Genomic DNA, 24,652 nt, shown 5'->3' with positions numbered 1-24,652 from the left:
TGGTGGCTCACGCCTGTAATTTACCCCAAAGTGCTTTTCCCCAGCACTTTGGGAGGCCAAGGTGGGTGGATCATTTGAGGTCAGGGGTTCGAGACCAGCCTGGCCAACATGGCAAAACCTGGTCTCTACTAAAAAGACAAAAAGTTAGTCAGGCGTGGTGGTGCACACCTGTAATCCCAGCTACTCAGGAGGCTGAGGCAGGAAAATTGCTTGAACCCGGGAGGCAGAGGTTGCAGTGAGCCAAGATGGCACCACTGCACTCCAGCCTGGGTGACAGAGCAAGACTCTGTCTCGAAAACAAACAAAACACACCATGCAACAAGTCATGGAATCTTCAGATTGTTAGAACTTTCCAGACGAAGAGCTGTCCAGCTTATGCCTCTGTGTACGTCTATTTAAGAGTGTTGTGTGTGTGTGTGTGTGTGTGTGTGTGTGTGTGTGTGTGTGTGTGTGTTGGGGCTGGGGATAGGGGATGAAGCCAAATAAAGAGTTTGCTAAAATAATGCATTGATAAATTGGCAGCTCTCCTGGCTCCCACTGCACACTTTTTCTTTTTAATTTTACTTTTAGTTCTGGGATACATGTGCAGAACGTGCAGGTTTGTTACATAGGTATACATGTGACATGGTGGTTTGCTGCACCCATCAACCTGTCGTCTAGGTTTTAAGCCCCACATGCATTAGGTATTTGTCCTCATGCTCTCCCTCCCCTGGCCCCCCAACCCGCCGACAGGCCCCGGCGTGTGATCTTCCCCTCCCTGTGATCTTCCCCTCCCTGTGTCCACATGTTCTCATTGTTCAACTCTCACTTATGATTGAGAACATACCACTGCACACTTTTTCTAGCTCAGCCTTTAGGCACGCCTCTCTGGGACAGGGAGGAGAGGTGTTGCTTGGAGGTTACTAAACCTTACCCACCTGTGCTACGCACAATAATGTTCCCCAAGGAACCATGCGTCCTAATCCCTAGAACCTGTGATATGTCACCTTCTATGGCAAAAGGGACTTTGCAGATGTGATTAATTTAAGGATGTCGAGATGAGGAGATTATCTTGGATTACCTGGGTGGGCCTAAAATAATCACAAGGGTCTTTACAAGAAGGAGATAGGCAGGTCAGAGAAAGCAATGCGATGATGGAAGCAGAGGTGGGAGTGACATGGGGCTATGAGACAAGGAACCAGGCAACTTCCAGAAGCTGGCAAAAGCAAGGAAATGGATTCTTCTCCAGAGCCTCAAGAAGGAATACAGCCCTGCTGACACCTTGATTTTAGCCCAGCGAAAATGATTTCAGACTTCTGTCCCCCAGAACTGTAAGACAATAACTTTCTGTTGCTTTGAGTTACAAGTTTGTGGTAATTTGTTACAGCAGCCACAGGCACTAATACATCCATGGATCCAGGCTCAACATATTCTAGTTACATTAAAGTAAAGATAGAGAGATACAGGTTCAGATCATCGTCTGATTCAGGACTATGGAATTTCAAGGGCTCCCATCTCTCCTCTTTCAAATCTACAAATGGCTTAATAAAAGAGAAGAGCTTCCTTTTAGAAATACCACACTTATTCCCATATAAGGTAAGCTTTGCTCTTTCTCCATAATGCACCTTTTATCAAAAGACATATGCGATAGAGCTTGAAAACCACAAAAATATAGGATACCTTGGTTGCTTCTTTCATAATATAGCTTGGAGATGTTTTCACATCTGTACACATGTTATCCTTTCATACAGTCACTCCACACTCTGTGTATTTTACCTTTAGTATAGGTACTAAGTACATCAGTAATACTTCTTTAGGGTATATAAATTCTAATTATAGCACTCCAGAGGGAACCATGATTATCAAAACCTAAATATCCACATGTATTATTTAATTCATCTTATTTTTCATTTCATTCATTAACTGTAAACTATTTTCCCCCCAAATTTCCACCTTAGTAATGTTCTGCACTTTTGTTCTTTTCTTTATTTATTTTCATTAGAGACGGGGTCTCACTATGTTGGCCAGGGTGGTCTCCGACTCCTGGCCTCCAGCAATCCTCCTTCCAGCCTTGGCCTTCCAAAGTGCTGGGATTACAAGCATGAGCCACCATGTCCAACCCATGTTTATTTGAAATCTATATTATTAAATTAGAACAACATGGCTATATGAAATAACAGGCTTATTTTTTCTAACAAATATAAACAGGCATAAGGTTTTAAGTGTGTACATACTGGCTTTTCCATATCATTTTGAAACTTTCTTTACCTTTCTGTATTTGACAACTTGGAAGTCAAATTTTAACTTATCTCCAAAGTTCTAATTTAATGATTTGATACTAAAGCAAAACTGAATTTCAGTCCTTTGTGTAATTTTTAGCCTCTAGAACAGTTGACTCAGACTGTATATAAGATCCTGTAGGGGACATGAGGTTATAATTTGGGAAAGCTACAAAGAAGATCATTTTATGTTCTAGAATAGATCATGATTTTATGTTCTAGCATAGATGATTTTATGTTCTACAATAGCACTAGGAAGTTAGCGGGAAGGGGAACTGATATAAACCTGAAGCTTATTCCATCTGCTACGCCATGGATCATAGAGTCCTTTGTCTCTGACCCAGGGGTCTCGTGTCTTCCGCCAGCACTCATGAAACTACTTGTTTAACTTGTTAGCTGCAAGTAAAGTAAAATCTCAGCCACTTCAGTGATTAGCCAAGAGCACCAAAATATACTTAATAAATTTAACACATAAGAGACTAATAACTCAGAAACTCTGCTGAGAGACATTAAGGATCTAAATAAAGAGATATACTACATTCAAGGCTTGGAAAACTCAGTATTGCTTAGTTGACATTTCTCCCCAAACTGATCCATAGAGTCAACGTAATCCCAATCAAAATCCAAAATAAAAATTTTGAGGACACTGACAAGATGAATTTTAAATTTAGATGGCAAACCAAAGGACCTAGACAGCCAAACAAAGTTGAGAAAGAAGAAACAGGTTGGGGGACTTACATTACCTGGTCTCAAGAAGTACTTTGATCTTGAAACATAGCTAATTTACAAAACAGTGTAGTATTAGCATAAGGATAGACATACAGATCAATGGAACAGAATAGAGTCTAGAAATAGACCCATACATACATGGGCAATTGATTTTCAAAAACAGTGCCGAGGTAAATTGATGCTGGAAAAGATATGTTTTTCAACAAATAGTTCTAAAAAACAACTAGTTGTCTCTATGTAATAAAAATGGATCACCAGGAAATGTGGAGAAACAGATCTAAGAGAGATAATGACTGTGCCACGTATTTGTATTTTTATCCTAAAATCGACTCCTGAATTAAGAAACATCAGCTCCACCTTTAATCGGAGGAAACTGAAGTTCAAACCATGACCACACAGCTAGGAAACGTTGAAAACAGGATTCAAGCCCGGATATCTCTGAATCTAAGGGTTGCCCCAATGTGGGAAAGGAATGGCACTGTGCAGAGATGAGTGAGAAGACAGTGCTCCCAAGTGACTCAGGAAGCTGAGTTCGCGCCTGGCCCTTGGCCTCTCTCTATGTCCCCAGGGCCCAGCTCAGTCCCAGCTACCTGGCAGAAAGAGATGAGGGATGTTGATTTCACGTTTTGGTTTTATGATGTTGAGTTTGGAGGTGGTACAGGTACAGTGTCCTGAGGCCATGGAACTATGATAGCCTGCTGTCTCCTAAAGGGAACTGGGATCGAGTTCCAATGGTCTGTAAGCTCAGGAGGTGGTTCAGAATCAGAGGAGGTTGCCCACTGCTGCTGGGGAGTGGAGTCTGGTGGGAGAGGGACATGGGGACAACTGTAGAGGGCTCAGCATCCAGCCCACCATTCCTGCCCGGAGGATCCTCAACATAGAGCACTCGGGGGCAGGGCACAGCAGCTGCTCAGAGGGGACGTGTTTGGCTTGGAGCTGGTATTCCAGAGGTGGGGCAGAGGTGCTAATGAGACACATCCTTCCCAGTTACATCCCAGGATGCTGGGTAGGGCCCTTCCGCAAGGACAGTGCAAGGGTTTGCTCCCTTGTTGGTCTCTGGTTGGCCGCGTTAATAGTCTGGTGTAGCCTAGTATAAATCCTACAAGGTTTTCAGCATCTGTCGACCTTGTCCCCAGGTTTTCCTTTTGCTTCTCTACTTGAGCTCCCTAACAATTGCTTTTGACAGCCCATGCTTCCTATTCCTTATCTCCAGACACGCCTCACTTCCAAAGAATTCCCAGCCTTCCAAAAATCTCTGGATTTCCTGAACACTCCAAGGATGAATTCACCGGCCCAAAGTCTTCTCTCAACCCTGAGTTTCTTTTTCCTTTTTTACTTTCTGAGGATTTCTAGTAATTTGAGTCGGCAGTGTCACTTTCCCCATTTTTTCTTCTGGAGTTTTCTTCCCACGATTCTTTTCTCTGCATCTGCAGGGCCCATTCCAGGGCTGGCAGAGAGCTGGCATTTACTCTGTGCTGCTGGAGTTCAGGAAACTAAGGAGGTCTCAGGGTGTCCATATGTGTTTGCTCCTCTCTGCCATGTGCAATTTCACCATATCCATTTTTAAACACACAATGCAATTCGACACACTTGGAAGCATAGGCTTCTATGTAAAAGCAGAAAGCACATGTAGGCAGGATACCCACCACCTTTAGGTGGCCAGTTATGCCTGGAGAGAGAGTAGGTGGCTTTAGCTGTATCTTGGGCGTCAGCAAACTTTCCATAAAAGGCCAGATAGCAAATATTTCAGGCTTACAAGTCCATATGGTCTCTGTCTCAGCTATTCAACTCTGCCATTGTAGCGTGAAAGCAGCTATAGACAATACACAAATGAATGAACATGGCTGTGTTCCAATAAAACTTTATTTATGGGCATTGAAATTTGAATTTCATATAACTCCCTATGTTCTCCTTCTTCTGACTTTTTGTTCCAACCCTTTAAAAATGTAAAAACTATTCTTGGCTCACAAGTCATACAGAAACAGATGAGGGGCTGGGTTTGGCCAGTAGACCACACTGTCCTGACTCCTTCTGGACCTGAATCATTTCTATTTCTAAGAAAGATAGAAAGAAAAGAGAAGAGAGGCAGGTATGGCAATGTTAAGGTTTGTTCAACCTGAGAGGTGGGTGTCTGCAATATTATTTTCTATGCTTTTCTGTTCTACTTTAGAATATTTTAGAATTTTCAAAAACTTAAAGAAAAGAAGGGGAAGGGCTGGAAATAACCCCCCAGTGATCCCAGAGCTTATTGGTGGGTGCTGGATTAAAGGTGATTTTTATTTTCTTCTGTTCTGTAATAGATATTTACTGCTTTTTGTAATCTTAGGAGTTGGGTTTTTTTGTTTTTTTTTTTCGAGACAGGGTCTTACTCTGTTGCCCAGGGCGGAGTGCAGTGGTGCGATCATAGGTCATCACAACCTGGAAGTCCTTGGCCCAGGCAATCCTCCACCCTCAACCTTTTAAACAGTTAACACCACAGGCCTGTGCCACCACAACAAAAAATTTTAAAATTTTCTGTAGAGATGGGGTCTCACTATTTGCCCAGGCTGGTCTCAAGCTTCTGGCCTCAAGTGATCCTCCCGCCTTGGCCTCCCAAAGTGTTGGGATTACAGGCATAAACCATGGTGCCTGGCCGTAAACATTATTATTGTTGTTGTTGTTGTTTCATGTAGATGGAGGGGTTTGGCCCAAACTGGTGGTCTGTCTCCCGGGGACCTTCCATAACTTCTGGAAGAGAGCCTCTTCCAGAATTTCCCCGACACACAGGAGCCGGAGCACTCCCTGTGCTAGTAAAACCGGCCCTTCCCTCTGCAGACAGCATTGCCAAAGTGGGGGAGGGGGGCCACAGCCTGGGTTCCCTGAAGCTCAGGGTCCCAGGAGAGTTCAGAGGCTGCTCCTGATGGGGAGAGACACTTACCCCACCCTGTGTGCTGCTAAACCTACAATTGTGAACAGGTTTCTAGATACCAGGTGGAACCATGACTGTATTGACAGTTAATGGGAAATCCAAGCTTCTCTTGCACCCCCATTTTCACCAAACTTCTCCAATCCTGTCCTATTCTGCACCCCACACCTCCTCTCCCCCAAATAATCGATCCCCTGCAGGCTCCAGCACCTTTCTCGCCTTCTCCTGAAGCTGCTCCCTGAAAAGCCCCTTGCCCAGTCTTGTGCCAAAACCCCTGCAGCATCAGCATCCAAGGCAGGCCCATCAGCCATGTCCACAGCCTGCCGGGCATCCCCCACCCCAGCCCTCAATGACCCTCATCCTCCCGCTTCTTCACGCCTTTCCAAGGGCCTTATCCCACCACCTTATCCCACCACCAGCTCCCACTCCTCTCGCTGTAAGGACGACCCCTGGACTTCTCCTTCGTGGGTGTCAGCCTACCATCCTGTGAGAATTCCAGGAACTAGTTCAATGTCTATAAATGAAAACTATGAAGTAGCATAATATGAGGGTGGGCCACACAGAACCACTGACTTCTTTTCTTGCCAAATATAGATGTTTAAAAAAAAGAACACCATTTAGTATGGTGCATACTAGACATTTATGTATTGCATAAAAGGAATGTTCTAACCCCAAAGAATCCAAAGACCATCATCTCAGAATAAAAAAGAGGCATCAAAATGGGTTACTGAAGTGAAATGGATGTTATGGGAAACTCGCTGCAATGCCCTTACAGTCCTCATTTCACCGCAGGCCAGGGAGAGATCGTGGCAGGAGCCCAGCACTGGCCCTCAGATGGCGGCATCCTCTCTCCTGTGTCAGCCCTTCCAAACTTCCCAGCTCCTCTCCACCTGCCCTCTGCCTTCCCCCATCCTGCACCTGCCGGCCTCCTTCAAAATTCCCCAGGAAGCGGACTGGCCTCCCTGCTCCCTCTTCCCACTTTCTTCTCCCTGCACCATACCAGTCTAGCTTGAGGGTTGTTAAGAGTTCTTTTCCTAAATCACAGCTCTGGTAAGTATAGTGAGGGTTAAACATCCTGGACTCTGCCACTCAGTAGCTGGGTGATGCTCAGCAAGTCACTTAACCAGTCTGAGCCTCAGTTTTCTCATCTAGAAAGTGGAGCTGATAACACCACCTGGGAGAATGATGATTTAAGGCAGGATGCATGTAAAGGACTTAGAAGAACCCCTGGTGCTGTGTAAGTGCTCAAGACATGGAGATCACTGTTATCATTCCTGTTATTTTCAAAATCCTTCCTTTGATTCCCAGTGGTCTGCCAGGGGCTGTTCTCCCCTCTTTGCTCACCACTCAAGGCCCTGCCTACCTTTCCAGTCACACCATCTGCTAACCTTATGCCAAGACTCTTCCCCTTGGCCTCTGAGCTCCCGAGGGCGGGGGCTGGCTATATCTGCTGTGGCAGCCCCTGGCACCCAGGTCACACATACTAGGTGGCTCGCTAAAGCTCTGCTGCTCTGAACAAGTACCAGTGAGACCTGTGGCAGCCTCTCAGGGTAGGGATGCCGAGAAACCACCTAGGTGGGTCCAGTCCCCACTGGCATCACGTTTTCTTTCTTTTTCTTTTCTTTTTTCTTTTTTTGAGACGGAATCTCGCTCTGTCACCCAGGCTGGAGTGCAGTGGCGCGATCTCGGCTCACTGCAAGCTCAGCCTCCCGGGTTCATGCCATTCTCCTGCCTCAGCCTCCCAAGTAGCTGGGACTACAGGAGCCTGCCACCACGCCCGGCTAATTTTTTTGTATTTTTAGTAGAGACGGGGTTTCACCGTGTTAGCCAGGATGGTCTCGATCTCCTGACCTCGTGATCCGCCCACCTCGGCCTCCCAAACGTTTTCTTTCTAGATCAGCCCTAACTGATTTGCAAGCAACCCCTCAGACTTTGGGTGAACAGCTAATAATGACAATTCTCCTGGCCTATAATGACACCCTATGCTGCATCATATCTATCTGTTACATGTGCTTCTGAGCCCAGAGATGTTCAGTGACTTGTCTGCAGTCACACAGCATTTATGACCTAGTCAGGACTCTGTACACGCTCCTAGGCCAAACTCTGTGTCCCCAGAATAGAGGTGTAAATGGATAGAAAAACCAAGCTTATTCCAGATTACCAATTTATTGGTTTCCAGTCTCCGAACCCAAAGTCCACAAATCTCCATGCCAAGCAGGACAGTAGGAAGGAGTCATCTCCGACTGCCCAGCACCCTTGGGCCCCACTCTCTCCTCTTCTCCCCTCTCTCCCTCATCAGCCAGGGGCTTGGGGAAGGAAGGCAGAGCCTCATGGCCCCAACATCTCCCTCCCTGTGCTCTGCCTTTTTTCATTTCACAACTATGTCGGCACATCGCCTCCAAAGGCCAAGGAAAAAGAAATAGCACAGCCCAGATGCCGATAGTACTCTCCTGTCTGTCAGGGAGAAGAGAAGAGGGAAATAAAAGCTAACAAGGCTTCCAAAAGCAAAATCCCCAAACCACCTCTCAGGTACCCAGCAGCTGTCAAAGTCAACACAGGAACCTGGCGAAGGGAGGAAAACCCATCCCCAATAAAACCCAGGCAGTTGTGGATCTGAGATTCGGAGACTGAGCACCGCCGCATTTCCAAGGGCGTGATGGGCGTCCTCGGTGGTGCTTCTCTGCTAACATACAGGTGGTCTGTCTAGACCGAGGAACCAAGCCTGTCTTTGCTGAGTATCGAGTCTACTTTTTTTTCTCGTTATTATTATTTGGAGGGCTATTGAGATTCCCTTGCTTCCTTATTTATGCAACTGGGAAATCACAGCACAGAGAGCTGCTTCCAAACTGAAGGCCACATGGGCCAATTTCAGATGGATAATTAAATATTGAACAAACGCTGAAATGCCTCTACTGAATCGGGATGGCTAAAAATAGCCACCCCGCCACTCCTAGAGCGGGCACGCGATACGTGGGCATCTCGGCTGCTCATTCTCAAACCCCTCCTCCCTGCAACTGTCAAGCGCAAGCTTCCAGGGAAACAGAGGAGGCAGAGGGAAATAGACTCCCCGAATACCTACTTAATGGAAAACAAAACTTCAGCTCCCAGCAAGCTCTGAATGTTCCTGACCAGGAAATACTCTCCCTTTCCTGACATTTAACCAAGTGGCCCCGAGAGGGAGGTGCAGGGGAAATATCACAGCCATTGCCTTTCTCTTAAAAATAGTCAAAAGGCTTCATGTCATTTCTAAAGCAAAACACGTATGCAGCCTGGGATGTGAGCGTGTTTGTGTCAAGTTCAACAGTACACGGGAGTTGAATCGCCATTCTCTCCCCGCAGAAGACCCAACCAGGAGCCCAGGCACTTCAGTTTCCCTATCTGGGCTCATCTTAGGGAAAGCAACAAACTACACCAACACCGAAACAGGATACAAAGGGATCTGAGTTCCAGACCCGGATTTCTCGTTAACATCTTTAGGTAACCACGGGCAAGTGGCCTTGGCTCTGTGGGCCTCAGTTTCCCCAGTTGTCAAGGGAAACAGTTGGCTCCTGGTACTGGAGCCATAAGTATCCATCTCTCCAACCTCCCCATTCAGCAGCTGGGCAAATAGGCTCCAAGCCCCTCCCTGTACCCCCAGGTCTTAGTAAGTACAGAATTAAATAGAAGGATGGAGATAGAAGAATGAAAACCTGAACCGCTGAGATGAGGAGCATGCCCTGGGTCCATTCCAGCGCTCTCTGAGTTGCAGCAACCAAGAAAGTTAGAGGGAGCCCTGGGGCTTCTGAGCATGAGCTTTCGAGTCCAGTGGACTGGGTTCAAACCAGTTATTTCACCACCCCGACAGGAAAATGCAGAGGAAATATCACACCCAGAGCTCCGTTTCCCACCTGGTAAAGGAAAGTGACAACAATAACCCCTACCTGCTAGGAGGATTGGAGAACTGAGATGAGACATGAGGTAATCAGGGGGAGCTCTTGGCATGGGGCCGGGCACACATTCAGCTTGGTGAAAGGGAGCTGTTCTCTTCCTGATTATTAAAGATGATGAGGGTGGGTCAGGAAGGACAAAGGCAAGGGCAAGAGGCTGACATTCCAGCAGATTCACTGGGGCCTGTGGCCTCCTTCGAGGACCTAGAGAGCTCTGGGGATTAGGCCTCAGGTGTCTGCCAGGCTCCAGGGACCTCACACCAGGGGACTCTGAACCCTCAGCACTAAGGGCTTTGGTGGAGAAACATGGCTGAGGCCCTGAGACCTGTCGCATGCCCTGGGAAAGGGCATGGTTGGCAGGTCATGAATGACAGCAGGATCCAGGGGGCAGGGGCAGGCCGGGGAGGTCCCACCTGAGCTATCCCAGGCAGGTGGAGGAGGCAACCAGATGCCAACGGGGCCACTCCCCTGCCTCCCTCCCAAGCTTTGACCAAGACTGTGAGAGACAATTGCCATGAACACCCAGTGAAGTCATTGGCTGTGAAGGGAGGTGGCCTTCTCAAAGCCAGGGCCTGACCTTAGAAAGGTCTGCCTGCCCACGGATATCGCAAGGTGAATCTCAGGACCTGGAGGTGGGCAGAGCTGGGCTCCACCATTTCTGAGCTGTGTGGCTTTGGGCAAAGCTTTCATTCTCTGGGCTACAGTCTCCTCACCTATGAAATGAGGATAGTATCAGTATCCATCTCACAGTGTTGTTCTGAACACTGCATAAGACAAGGCAAGTTCAGAGTTGAGCTCATTGCCAGGCATGGAGCAGGCACGCAGCACACAGGAGCCGTAACAAAAAGGAGCCATTTTCACCCTCATTACACAACCTGAGAGGGAGTGAGCTCCCCAATCCTTGAGGTATGTAAGGGAGAGGAGGGACTGGAAAGGCTAGGGCCAAGCCCCAAATGAAAGATTGTGTCTTGGCAGAAACAGAAGAAGAGACAAGGCAGAAAAGGGCATAATGATTTCACAGGTGTCATCCAAGGTGGAGGCAGAGAGCCAGGCCTAGGGCCCTTGCAGGGAACATTTGAAAACTGGGGAACCACAAAACCCCCCCACCTCAGGGCTGTTCTCAGGCTCGCCCAACTCATGAAGTCCAAGCTGTTGCCCCAGAGGCCTCTTGCAGACCTTATCAAAGCCAGGGTCCCAGCCAGGCACGGTGGCTCATGCCTGTAATCCCAGCACTTTGGGAGGCCGAGGCGGGTGTATCACCTGAGGCTGGGAGTTCGAGACCAGCCTGACCAACATGGAGAAACCCCGTCTCTACTGAAAATACAAAATTAGCCGGGTGTGGTGGTGCATGCCTGTAATCCCAGCTACTCGGGAGGCTGAGGCAGGAGAATCGCTTGAACCCGGGAGGCAGAGGTTGCGGTGAGCTGAGATCGCGCCATTGCACTCCAGCCTGGGTAACAAAAGCAAAACTCCGTCTCAAAAAAAAAAAAAGCCAGGGTCCCCTGAGAAGTTACCCACCCCCCATGGTGGCACACAGGTCCTTACCTAACTGTTCTCTTGGTTAGGAACCAGTTGTATGAAACCATCCTCTCCCACCACGCGGGCAAGATACAGAGGCATGCAAGAGGGGTGTGTACAGGCACGGAGGAGGACCTGACCATCTCAAGAGAAAAACATCTGCAAAACCCCCAGCTCCCAGCCAGGGCCTGGCAGGTGGCTGGACCCCTAGAAAAACTCAGATGAAAACATGAACAACATAATCAAAACCCCTCATGGCTATGGGTATAGGCATTCCAAGAGGCAGGAGAGCAAGATTAACCCCCCTCGACAGATGGGGAAACTGAGGCCCTATGATGTGCCCAGTCATGCAACCAGTCCGCGGCTGAGCTGGAACTACAGCCCCTGCCTCCCACTAACCACTGCTCTGTCCCCTAGAAAGAGACTTGTGCCCTAGTGCACCCCAACAAGCTGGCCTCCCCAACAGACTGGGGGCTTGGCAAGGGCTGGGAGCACATGTGATTCATCTCCATGTGCCCCTGCACCCAAGCTGAAGCCCAGCACATAGTAGGTGCTTAAGAGGAGCTGACTGGCTGAATGAATGGGTCAGAACTTTATCCAGGGCTAGAGGAAAATTTCTGTTTCTCCTAGCAGCCCTGGGGAAACACAGGGGTCAGAGACAAAACTTTTCTTGATTTTGGTGTGACTAGGTGGGGAGGCACCTTGCTGATGATACCCTTCTGGGGAAAGGATCCCCCCAAATCCATGGGACATGCCCAGCCTTCAAGTGGAGTTAGGGACACAGTGGGAAAATGCAAATGGCCCTCACCCTCCGAAGGTCACTGTTTCTACCCCACCTCCAGCTACCCTCCAGCTTCGTGCTCTACCCCCCACCACAGCAGGTCTCACTCTGCCCATCCTTCAGATGGGGAAACTGAAGCCCAGAAAAGGGAAGAACCTAAGTCCCTTATTGGTCAAACTAGGGAGACTGCAGATACTGTCCCTCACTCACAGCCCTACCAGGGACAAAGCCCTGCTCCCTTCCCCCAGCCTGGCCACCTGCAGAACCTGGCAGCAACCAACTCTTCCTTGCATTTTTCTGTTTCTGAACAAATACACAGCCTGAGTTCTTGGTCATTTTCCTTCCCTGCTAGTGCCAGAGGCCAGAAAGGGTGTGGGGGCAAGAGTCTGATCCAGGCTGAGATGCTAGGCACCACCCACTCCTCTGAGGTCCGATGCTACCACACCATGGGACCAAGCCCCCATGTGGATGGGGAGGCTGAAGTTCAAGGTCAGAAGGGACTGGCTCAAAGGCCACAGGGTGGCTTCCTCAGCCTGAGTTTCTCCCTGGGTGGGGCCCTGCCCTCAGGTGGTGGTTGTGGCTCTGGGGTAGAGTCAGGCGTCTGAGGCTTTAGTGGAGGGAGGGCAATGGCTGCCCTAGCTGCCTCCCACCAAGGAGGAGGAGGACAGGGTGCCTCCAGCCTCCACCCTACACCCTGGCTGCAGCTGTAACTAACTCCTCATCACTCCAGGCCTTCTTTTTTTAAAAAAACAAACAAACAAACAAACAAAAACAATATTGAGACAGGGTCTTGCTATGTTGCCCAGGCTGGTCTTGAACTCCTGGGCTCAAGGATTCCTCCTGCCTTGGCCTCCCAAAGTTCAAGGCCCTTTATCAAATCCAAACTACTGTTGCCTGCTCTTCCCCACCCACTCACCCAGCCCCCTTCCCAATCCACTCCCCTCCCCAAACCCAGGAGGAACTCTATTCTCAATACCCAAGCCGTTTTCCTTCTCCCTGACTGCGCAGTCTGTTCATTCTGTCCAGAGAGAAGACAGTAGCTCACCCTCAGCTGCAGCCTTAGTCCCAGGCACTGGCTTCTGGCCCTCACATGACCCTGTCACTGCTAGCCCCATTGACCACACAAGGTCACTGAGGCTTGGAGAGGTAACTGGCTGTAGAATAGTTGTGTGCACAGCTGAGACTTGAACCCAGATCTGACTCAATTACTCCCTCTGCGAAGGGAAACCCTATCCATTTTGTGAGATCCCATCCAAATGTCACCTCCTCTGTGAAGCTCTCCCTGATCTCCCCAGATATAACTTCTGTTCAGAGACAGTCTCCTCCCCGCTCTGCAGGCCGTGAGCTCCTTCAAGCTGGGACACAAGCAGTGATCCTGTGTATGTGGGGTCTGGGAGCTGGGGCTCAGGTGACAGCCCCTGACACATTGATTATCCCCTGCCTGGTCAGCTGAGCAGGAGGTCAGCTGAACAGGAGCGAGACTCCCATTACAGTCAGGGATGGAACTGGGCTGAGGTGAGAAGAGGAAAAGGTCACACAGGGCATTTCTGAGGCAAAGGAGGGGCGGGTGGGTGAGGTGACGTGAGGTGGGTGCAGAAGGAGAGGCCCCAGGGTGGTCTGAACAGTACTGGGCATTTTCAAAGCTCCCATTTCTCAGTTTCTTCACTGAATCCTCCACATACGGCAGGTCCATTTTACAACCAGGAAAACTAAGCTCAGAAAGGGGAAATGACTTGCCCAAAGTCACAAAGCTTGAGCCCAGATTCCCGGTCTCCCAGACCAAGTCCAGGGGAAGGGAGTAAGTACAGAATTAACAGTACTAAGCCTTTCTCCAGGTCTTAGCAAGTACAGAATTAAATAGAAGGACAGAGATAGAAGAACCAAAACCTGAACCACTGAGATAAAGCCTTCCCCAGGTCTTTAGTACTCCCTCCAAGGAGTACTAAAGGCTTAGTACTCCCTCCAAGGAGTACTAAAGGCTTAGTACTCCCTCCAAGGAGTACTAAAGGCTTAGTACTCCCTCCAAGGAGTACTAAAGGCTTAGTACTGTTAATTCTGTACTTACTAAGTAACTTAGTACTGTTAATTCTGTACTTACTAAGACTTCAGGAAAGGCAGGAGTGGGGGGATTGCAGGCTTTGAGAGACCCTTGAGGACTGAACTACCAGCACACACCTGTGCACACACTTAGCCTCAGCTTGAACCCTTCTGTGCACAGGGAACTCACTACTTCCTGAGGAAGCCCTGGACTGCACAGTGCTACTCAGACCTGACTGTGGGAAAAGTCTTCCCCATTCTGGTGGAAGCAACCGAACACTACCTGCCTGCTTCATTTACCCTCACACCGACAAGAAAACTGAAGTTCAGAGGCAGCTCAGCCCAGGTCACACAACGGCAGCCTGCAGGGTGGGAATGTGGCCCCTCTTGGTCTACCAGATTCCCTGCATGGCATTTGTTGGCACAGGGCCCGGCTTCCCACTTTCAAGATAACCTGATGGTGTCAACTCGGCCCAGGTCCCTGCTAAGGCGCCGTCTTTCTCCTCCCTTCCACCCCACGGGCACCCTCGGTGGGCCTGAACCTCTGCCTAGGACTCCAGCCTCCCCAGAGCCCCTTTGAAGGCCTCCTCCTCCCAGGGGCTTCCCTCCCTCCTACTCAGCCAGGGAAGGAAGTCCCGGCCACCACCCGCCCAAACGCAGCCCCCGGGATCACACGCATTTCCAGCCGAGGATCCTGTTACTGGAAAAAGAAAATGCTGCTCGCACCTCCCCCTCCGTCTCGTCCTGCCTCCTGAGCTTGATGGAGAGAAACTTTGCAAAGGAGCTGGCGCCCACCCGCTCGAGGGGTCACGGTTCCTTCCCTGAGGTCCACCCACTTGTCCTAGCACCCAAGAGGTGGGGAGCCCGTTAAGTTCCTGGAAAGGGAAGAAAGAAGTCCGCGGCCTGGGCTGGGAAGGCAAGGTGTGGGAAAGCTCAGATCCACCCTGGGTTACTTTATTGCCCGGCTGCTGAGTAAACTGAGGCACAGTGGGGTAGGAGGTCTGATCTGAGATGCGGAGAAAGATTCCAGGCTCCCCTCTCCCTGTCCCTGGCTTAAGAGGAGACCCTAGAGCCTCGGCTTCCCCCGGCGAGAGGAGGACTAAGCAGAAGCTGGGGGAATGGGGGGTCCGGCAGACTCAGGAAGGGGCGGATGAGGAAACCCCCGGCAAATGGCTGGAAGGAGGATCCCGGTCCCTAGCATCCCAGGGCATCAGGTGGCTTAGTGGCCTTAGGAGGGTCTAGGGGTCAGGGGTCGGGGTGGCGCCTACCCCTGGCAGGCCGGGTCCGGCTGCGGGAGCGGCTCCTCTGTCGCTGCAGCCGGGGCCGCCTCAGCAGCCGGTAGTAGTAGGAGGACCTCCCGGTGCTCTTCCTGGCGCTGCCGCCCGCGGACATGCTGCCGCCCGCCGGGCACCGGGCCGGGCCTGGGCGCGCTCACACGGGCCCCATCGGCCGCTCCGGACAGCCCGGCGGGCGCCCACGCGTTCTCCCGCGCTCGCCCGAGCGGCCGCCGAGGCCCTGGCTGCCCCACAAAGTCGCTCAAACTCCTCCTCCGCCTCCTGCCCCCTCCCGCTCCCCGAGCAGCCGGCCCCGCGGCGGGGGCTGGGGACCCGGAGGCCGGGCTGGCACCGGCCCGGAAAGTCAGTGCGGGAGAAATCCCGGCCTGGAATCGGCGGGGCGAGGCGGCCCGGAGTTTCCCCGGGACCCCAGACGGGTCGTCCCGAGGGTTCTGGCTCCCACCCCCGCCCCCGAGGGTTCGACCGTCGACCTGAGGGCGCACCAGGCACCCAATCCCGCCAGCGCGGGTAGACGGTGCACACCTGCTTGTGCGCTCTCCGGAGCCCGGGGTAGGACGCATGCTTGGGGACGGTCACCTTCAATTAGGGTCCGTTCCTGCCCCAGGCTCGCTGGGCTGAGAAACGACCCTCACTGCTCCGCAGGCCCTGGCCCAGCCAGGTTGAAAGACTCCCCTGTGATGCAGGATACTTGCCTCTTCTTTACGTTTTAAAGGTTGTCCCGTCTGATACACGTATCATTTTTATGTAATTAAAATTACGGTGTCTGTTTCAAGCACTCAAAGCACTGAAGGCAGGGCAGAACAATCCCTACCCTACCGTAGGCACCAGAAACTCAGGGTGGCAGAAGGAAAGGTACCAACTCCCTCTATTGCATTGGCTGAAAAACTTTCTCCAAGTCACTCCTCAGCTCAAGAGCTTTCCGTGGCTCCCCAGAGCACAATGGCAATACGTCTAAACATCCTTGTTATTTGGACCCCAAATAATCTTGCCCCAACCAAAGTCCCCTCCAGCCTCACCTCTGCTCCCCCTAATTCTCACTTCTCTTTGCTGTGCTGCCAGCAGGGACTGCCTTCTTGGCTATTTTCTCCACCCGACCAAAGTCCACCCTTTCAGGACCCAGCTCCTCCACCCTTCCCTAACCATGGCCCACAGTGATCTCTCTCTCTCCCCGCCCCTTATCTCTTTAGCAATATTCGTCGTTTAAATTATTAAGACACCTGCCTGAGCTGCCTCCTTTGAAGTACAGAGGGGGAAACTGAGGCCTTGGCAAGGAGGTCTTGCCTCAGTCACATGGAAAGTGGCAGAGGCAAGTGGTCTTAGCCTGGGGCTCTCAACATTCAGACTTAGGGGTGGGGGGTGTGAGTCACCGCAAGTGCCTGAGGCCGGCTAGGGGATCTTCCTCCAGAACAGTGGGGAAGGTGGGGCCCTGGAGTGGGCGGGGCCGTCTGGGCAGAAATCCAGGCCGGGTTTTGCACCTCACAGGGGAAGCCCCCTCCCTAGCGCTCTCAGCCAGCGGGGAGGGTCCCTAGTCCTGCGGAGCCTGTCTCACAGCTGGAAGCCAGGCGCCTTCCCTGACCAGGGGGGAGGGGCAGGAGGGGTGTTACTCCAGCAAACTCAGTCTGAGGAGTCCAGAGCTATCAGCTGCCCTGGTCCCCTCTTCCCTGAATACTGGCCAATCCCACAGGAAGATGGAAAACCAGGGTGCCCAAGAGGACACCCTTAGCCTCCTTTGGGTTAGGCCAGGGGTGCCCAATCTTTTGGCTTCCCTGGGCCACACTGGAAGAAGAAGAATTGTCAGGCCACACATAAAATATACTCACACTAACCATAGCTGATGAGCTAAAACAAACAAACAAACAAAAAAACCACACACACAAAAAAACCTCATCATGCTTTAAGAAAGTTTATGAATTTGTGTTGGGCAGCATTCAAAGCCATCCTGGGCCACATGCAGCCGGTAGGCTGCAGGTCAGACAAGCTTGGAGGCATTGCCCTATCTCCTTTCAACAGCAGACATGGTGCAGGAACGTCTCTAAAAAGAAGCCCCTGGACAGAGCGCACACACAGTCACTCAGTCCCCAGGCAAGCTGGGGGCCTTGTTAGCATGCATCCTCCTCTGGCCAAACTGCCAGAACCCAGTTCAGTGCCTCCTCACGTAGGTGGGGTTCTGAGCACCACCTGTCCACATCTTGGCACTTCCAGGCATGACTAACCTCCGTAGCCAGGTCCACGGGTTCTGGGGGTGAGGGACTCCCAGGAAGTCCTACTCAGGACGGGGGCAACGGTCCTGCTCCCAGGGCCTGAGTTCATCTGGCCCATTTTGTTTCCCAAAGCAGGAACCCTCTGATCAGCCAGGTTCCAGCCCTCCCTGGAGGGGACGGGAGGCTCACAATCAACTCACTGTTATCAGTGGTGTGGGCAAGTGGTCTTAGCCTGGGCCCCCAACAGGAAGTCTGAGGAGTGTGTGTGGAGGGGAGAGGGGGCAGTAACTTGGAACTCAGGACCTCATCTGTAAGCACAGCTGGGCTCCAAAGGTCTGGCATGGTCTCCCCACTTCAGCTTTTCAAGTCCTTCTCTGTGCCTTAGTTTCCCTACCTATAGGGAGAACGTATGGACCCCCAATCCATCTGCCTTGTGGAGGAAGGAGGGTCAGCTAGTGAAATGGAGGAAGCTTGTGCATTTCTACCCTTGGGATGGGAATGGGCATCGCCAACCAGCTGAGCCGAGCATCTCCACGGGCCTGGGGCAGGTACTCTCCGGGTACTGAGTGGGAAGGGGGCAGGGCAGGAGCTAGGAGAGAAAGAGCCCAGGCTCCTTTTCCTTCTTCCTGGCCCAGGAACAGGGCAGTTAAAGGCCGCTCCCTGTACAGCCCAGCAGGGGACCTGGAATCAATCCTGCTGGGAAACTGGCCCCCCATCTGCTCCCACCTCCCGCCGGCGCCCCTGTGGCTTTCTCTCTCTGAACAGGAGAAGCCCTGCTTCCAGTGCCCACCACCACCATTGCTACCACTGCTTCCTGTGACAGACCAACAGATCGGACTTTCCAGCCCTGCCAACATGAGAGCCTCAGTACCTACAGGGCTAAAGGTCTGGTCTTATTCTCCCACCTCCAGAGGGGCTCCTGAATAGGCCCAGCTCCCACCTCTCCCATGTGCTGCTTTAGCGGGGACAGGGCTGCAGCCCCCAAATCACCTTCACTCAGTGAACAGGCATATTTCTGAGTTTCCCTCAAGACGCTCAATTCAGTGGGTCTGGATGGGGCCTGGAAACATGCAAGTTTAGTAAGTAGGGGTGTGGGTACTAGGACTGGCTAAATCAGATCTGACCTAACCCCACCACCAGCACCTTTACCCTCCCCTCAAAAGCCTCCCAAGGCGAACTCTCAGAGACCAAGCTGTGTCAAAAAGCGACCACCTCCCGCTTGCACCCCAACCCATTTCAGCCCCCTTGGTCATCCTCCAGACACTCTTTCCCACCACCAGTCTTCGCCCTGTTGGTGGGACCTGGACCGCTGCCACCAAGGTCTTCCCTCTGCACCCACCTGGTGCATTCCTGCTTACCCTTCAGGACCCAGCTCAAGCATCCCCTCAGTTTTTTATTTTTTAAATTTTTTATTTCCATAGGTTTTTGGGGAACAGTTGGCATTTGGTTACATGAGTAAGTTCTTCAGTGGTGATTTGTGAGATTTTGGTGCACCCATATCCCGAGCAGTAACTTGGGATACACTAAACCCAATTTGTAGTCTTTTATCCTTCACCCCCTTTCCACCCGTTCCCTGAGTCCCCAAAGTCCATTGTGTCATTTTTCTGCCTTTGCATCCTCATAGCTTAGCTCCCACTTATGAGTGAGAATATATGATGTTTGGTTTTCCTTTCCTGAGTTACTTCACTTAGAATAATATTCTCCAATTCCCATCCAGGTTTCTGGGAATGCCATTAATTCATTCCTTTGTATGGCGGAGTAGTATTCCATCATATATATACATATATACCCGTATATATATATAATACGTATATGTATGTATATATATAATATATATGTATATGTATGTATATATATGTGTATATATGGGTATATATACGTATATATGTGTGTTTATGTATATATATGTGTGTGTATATATACATTTTTGCAATTGCAAATTGAAGCACCCCCTCCTTAAAAAAGTCTACTCTGACTCCAAGGAGAGACACCCCCCTCCTGGCTCCTGGTATACCCCACTAGTCAGTTTGAATAATGGGGACACAGGAGGCTACTTGTGAAGACCAGGGAGGGATGGACCCAAAAAATTCCCCTCTAGGCAGAAAACCATCAGCATCCCTGCTGGAAAAGAAGCAGTGGGTAGCATCAGAGCTGGGCTGAAAGTCCAGGTACATCATGGGCCAGGCCAGGGTGGGTCAGCAGGGGCACCAGATGCAGGGGAGGGAGGCTAGCCCAAGGCAGTCTTGAGTCCCTCTGCGGTGTCAGGGTTGAAGTCAGTGAGAAAAGAGAGAAAAAAAAGCATATTGCCAAAATTACCTTTGAAAAGCCTTAAATTGCCCATAAAGCATAGTGTTTCCTCCAATCTTAAGACAGATCACCCATTTCTGCAGCTAAGCACAAAACAGAAGAGCACAGCCTTCATTGATGGGCCATTCTGTACAGGGGGGATGATAACAGCAACCACAACCAGTTATCTTCAAACACCAGCCTCCCCCAGGGAAGGGGAGATGCTCATGCGTGGGGCACCACAGAAACCCAAGGCTTCTTAACAGAGGAGGGTTACAAGTTTGACCTCAAGAGGTTTGTTTGAGGGTGGAGTTTGGGTTTAATCCTAATCATGGTAGCTGAACTGCATCTAGCATGCACTGTCCCAGATCCTGTTCTCAGCATTCTACCCACATCATCTCATTTAATTTCAGAATAATCCTAGGAGGCAGATGGTTATTTCTTTTTCCAGAAGAAATGTCAAGAGGCAGAGAGAGGGTAGGTGAGTTCCCTAAAGTCACAGGGCTTGCACTAGGAGGCAGGATTTGAACCCAGGGGGCTGAAAGGAGCAACGATCATAAGGTTGAGCAGTACGGAATGCAGAGACGGGGGAGTGGAAACAGTCTAGAACTTTCTTTAATAGCCAGCTTTGTCAAGGGACAGGAGGAGGCTAGGGGCGACAGGAGTCCTGACAGGGGAAGCATCGGAGCCCACACTAGGCCCCACACAATGGGTGTCTGGAAGGCTCAGACCTGTCAGGTTTCCTGTTGGGATGAGGGTGGGTGGTGGTGACCGGGGAAGTCCCCAGCCAGGCAGGCCTGCACACATCCGCCTCCCAGGACAGTCTCAACCTTTCAGTCTCTGGAGCTCTGGGCAGGGGTGGGGGTGGGGGGGACAGAGGGTCGGGGTGGGGGGGGTGGCGGGACACTTGTGGTTAAGGTCATGGCCTCTGCCCCAGGAGGTGGCCTGTCTGGCAGGCAATGACGACTTCCTGCATCCACTGTTCATCCGGGAATAAGGCTGGACCAGGAGCAGGATCTTCACTAGGAAGATGGGGGAGGCTGGGGCCAGGTCACCCCATTCAGGGAAAAGCATAGACAAGCCCCAAGAGGTCACACTAAAGCACTCCAGGCTAGCCAGGCGACCACCACTGCCACCGCCCCCCAGACTTCCTCCCAAAAGCCACCGATATATTTAATGACATCGTTTGCAGAAAACGGTGCAGTCAGGGACAAGATGACCCCAGGCTTGGATGGCTCTGCCCCTCTCAACACAGGCGGAAGTGGGGGACCAGTCAAGCGTGGACATTTGAACACACAGAGACAGAGCCTCGGGGAGTGTGAGTGTTTTTCCAATCAAGTCACCCAGGGCTGGGCCGAGGGCAGAGCCCTCGGGACAGGCCGGAACTCTAAGAGGGGGTCACCGTGTGATACCTCTGGGTCTCAGGTTTCCACGTGTTAAATGGAGATGAGACAGCTCTGTTCAGCTCACCTCCCAGAGATTCCATCAGGATCTAAAAATCTCCCCATTCCCCAAAGGGCCACCTACAGGTCCCCTCCAGTCCTCCAGAAGCCCAGAGAAGAGGACATGCACGTCTCCCTCGTACACGTCGACAGCCTGTCATAAAGCCCCGGAATGTCCGAGGTAGAAGGAACCTTGAGAGAAACTGATGAACGGGGGAAGCTGAGGCCCTCAAAATCAGCTGCTTACCCAGAGGACCCTCCCTAACCCATGGCAAACTGGGATCTGGCATCAACTCTGCAATCACTGAGGGTCTGGTTGGCTCTCTCATCCCAGCACAGAGCAGTCAGGGTGGGGCAGCATCCCTTCCTGAAGATGGGGAAGTGAGACCAAGGGAGGGAGCGACTCACCCAAGGTCACATGGGGCTGGGGATTAGGGTGGGTTCCACCTTGGAACCCAAATACAGCCGCCAAGACCACCTCTCTCCGTCGAGAGCCTGGACCACCTCTCCCAGAATGCCTGCTGCCTTCTGCCCACAGGAGCCCTGGGCTTCCCCTCCATACTGGCTGCCCTGAAGTTGAGGGCTCCAATCCTGTGGCCCAGGGGAGACTAATCCACTCTCCAGGCCCCAGCCCCAGCCCTCCTTCCTCACCCCAACCCTAGCAGCCGGCATTTCAGCCCAGATGGCCAAGCCTGGAGCCACTCTCTCTGTGTACTTCCTCTCCCTGCCCTGACCCAGAAACGCTGCCAAGCTCCAGGTGGGCCCTGGGCCCCAGTGACGCCCACAGCCCCTCCTTTCTCCCTGGCCCAGGCCTGGGGCTGAGGTTCCAGGTCTCTGGGCTTCTTCCTCCCCCTTCAGTAAGGGCCCAGACAGCTCCGCACCCACTGGGAAACCAGAGGGGGTGGCATATGGTCCCAGTGTGAGGTCAGGGAGCCCCCTCCCTTCTCAAGCAGGCCTGCCTGGTCATCTGTGAACCATTTCATGGCTGGCACTGGCCTGGGTTCCAGGGGAGGGCCTTGCTCAACTCCTGCAGAGACCACAGAGGAGGACAGCTGAACGGGCCCTGTAGTCAGCTCCTAGGAAGCCCCCATTCAGGTGGGGGATTTGGAGTGATGAGCCTTCCCCTCTTCACTGTGTGACCCCAGATCACTGCCTCACCTCTCTGTGCCTCCATTTCCTAAGGTATAAAGGGGTATATGAATATTTTGTGAGGTTGTGGAAGAGTCAAATAACATAGTGGATCAAAGCCTTGCGTATAAACTGACAAGCAGCTTCCCCTCCTGGCTCTTTTCTTTTTCTTTTCTTTTCTCTCTTTCTCTCTCTCTCTTTTTTTATTTTTTATTTTTTTTTGAGATGGAGTCTCAGCAAGCCCAGGCTGAAGTGCAATGGCTCGATCTCAGCTCACTGCAACCTCCGCCTCCCAGGTTCAAACAATTCTCCTGCCTCAGCCTCTTGAGTAACTGGGATTACAGGCGTGTGTCACCACGCCTGGCTAATTTTTGTATTTTTAGTAGAGACGGGGTTTCGCCATGTTGGCCAGGCTGGTCTCGAACGCCTGACCTCAGGTGATCCACCTGCCTCAGCCTCCCCAAGTGCTGGGATTACAGGCATGAGCCACTGCGCCCAGCCTTTCTTTCCTTTCTTTTCTTTCTTTCCTTCTTTCTCTTTCCTTCCTTCCCTCCTTTCTCCTTCCTTCCTTGTTTCCTTCCTCTTCCCCTTCCCCTTCCTCTTCCTCTTCTTCCTCTTCTTCCTCCTCCTCTTCTTCTTCTTTTTTAGACAAGGTCTCGCTCTGTTGCCCAGGCTGAAATGCAGTGGTGGGATTATAGCTCACTGCGACCTCGAATGCCTGGGCTCATGTGACCCTCCTGCCTCAGCCTCCCGAGCAGCTAGGACTACAGGCGTGTGTGCCACCATGCCTGGCTAATTTTTTAACTTTTTGGTAGAGACACAGTCTTGCCATGATGCTCAGACTGGTCTCGAACTCCTGGCCTTAAGTGATTCTCCCACCTTATTGTCCCAAAGCACTGGGATTATAGGTTTGAGCCACCATGCCTAGCCTTGGCTATTTCTTTTCTCACTAATTTGTGGATTGGTTGAGAGGACAGTCCAGAGCTGATCAGTACAGCTCCCAGCCCAGAGCAGGCTCTTAGCAACAGTGGGAGAGATGATGGCAACATTCGAAAAAAGTGGCTGAGCCTATCTGACCTGGAGTCAGCACTGAGAGAATTTGGAGAAGAGAGAAGTCCTGGAAGACTGCCTGGAGGAGGAGACACTGGCATGGAGCTAGACGGCTGAGTAGGAGTTGACTGCATAGCGAGCAGAAAAGTATATTCTTGGAGGGAGAGACAGCATGAGAAAAGCCCCAGAGGTGGAAATGAACAAAGCATGTACTGGAGACAGTGGGTAGGATGGTGAGGCTGGAGCAGAGGATACAGTGAGGACTGGGGAGCAGGCTATGTGAGGGGTGAGATCAGGGAGAATAGACAGGGAGATAGAACCAAGTTGGGGTGAGGCCCAGGCAGCTTCTCCAGAGGGGAAGAAGAGAAGTGGTAAGGGCAGAACTCTGGTGGGAGATCTGGGCTTGAGGCTTAGATTTGTCACTGTGTGGCTGTGCAACCTTGAATAAGTCACGGTGCCTCTCTGATCCTCCCTCTGCAAAAAATGAAAGAAGGGGATGGCTCCATATGGCAGGCTTACAGGTGTGGGGCTGGACTGGATGCCATTAACTACATTGGGAGCATTCAGAAACAGATTCCAGGGCCCCACTCCCAGCATCCCTGAATCCAGATTTTGATGGGTAGGGCCAAGGAATCTATATTCTTAAAAGAGCTTTCTAGTGGCTTTCTTGAGGAGCCACTGGCTAAGATAGTTCTGGACTCAGCTTGATAACTTTTCAATCTCTGAATGTGCCAAACGTGGTCCCACCTCAGGGCGTTTGCATCTCCAGTTCCTGCTGCCTCATTCCCACAAACCCCAGATCTTCAGATGGACAGCTCCTTCCTGTCATTCAGGCCTCAGCTCAAATATCACACCCTCAGAGACCTTCCCTGGACCCCTTATCTCAAGTGCCTTTGCCCCAATCTCTCCATGATATCCCATTGCCCTGTTTTATTTTCTTCCACATAGCGCTTCCTGAAACTATCTAATCTGTGTATTCAGATGTTCATTAATTTGTTTCCCCAGACTTTAATGAGGACAGGAACCTTGTGAGTCCAGTTCACAGCCATATGCCCAGTGCATAGAATAGCACTCAATAAATGTGTGATGAACGAGG

At 51.3% G+C, this 24,652-nt stretch overlaps 1 protein-coding gene across 2 annotated transcripts in view, besides 2 other annotated features; it reads right to left on the bottom strand.

The window, feature by feature from the left end:
• The window catches only part of DAB2IP (DAB2 interacting protein), a 218,457-nt gene that overhangs the window by 118,209 nt on the left and 75,596 nt on the right, over positions 1 to 24,652 (bottom strand). Inside the window, exon 1 of one of the 2 annotated variants that reach the window (NM_001395010.1) lies at positions 15,423 to 15,688. The exons of the other annotated variant lie outside the window; for it this stretch is intronic. Coding sequence (NP_001381939.1) covers positions 15,423 to 15,546 — 124 coding nt within the window. The 5' untranslated portion in view covers positions 15,547 to 15,688. Of the gene's footprint in view, positions 1 to 15,422; positions 15,689 to 24,652 lie in introns of those variants that run through there. 2 annotated transcript variants of the gene reach the window in all.
• Positions 12,153 to 12,652: an enhancer, noted in NCBI's record as "H3K4me1 hESC enhancer chr9:124416949-124417448 (GRCh37/hg19 assembly coordinates)". NCBI's record gives its function as "activates a minimal SCP1, AML or CMV promoter by ChIP-STARR-seq in primed H9 embryonic stem cells {active_cell/tissue: H9 hESC(primed)}" and the evidence as "EXISTENCE:reporter gene assay evidence [ECO:0000049][PMID:30033119]".
• Positions 17,111 to 17,946: an enhancer, noted in NCBI's record as "H3K4me1 hESC enhancer chr9:124411655-124412490 (GRCh37/hg19 assembly coordinates)". NCBI's record gives its function as "activates a minimal SCP1, AML or CMV promoter by ChIP-STARR-seq in naive H9 embryonic stem cells {active_cell/tissue: H9 hESC(naive)}" and the evidence as "EXISTENCE:reporter gene assay evidence [ECO:0000049][PMID:30033119]".

Source organism: Homo sapiens, chromosome 9 (genome assembly GCF_000001405.40).
Source record: "Homo sapiens chromosome 9, GRCh38.p14 Primary Assembly".
Taxonomy (NCBI): Eukaryota; Metazoa; Chordata; class Mammalia; order Primates; family Hominidae; genus Homo; species Homo sapiens.
Note: the sequence above shows the minus strand (reverse complement) of the source record. Positions and strands in the feature narration are given on the sequence as shown.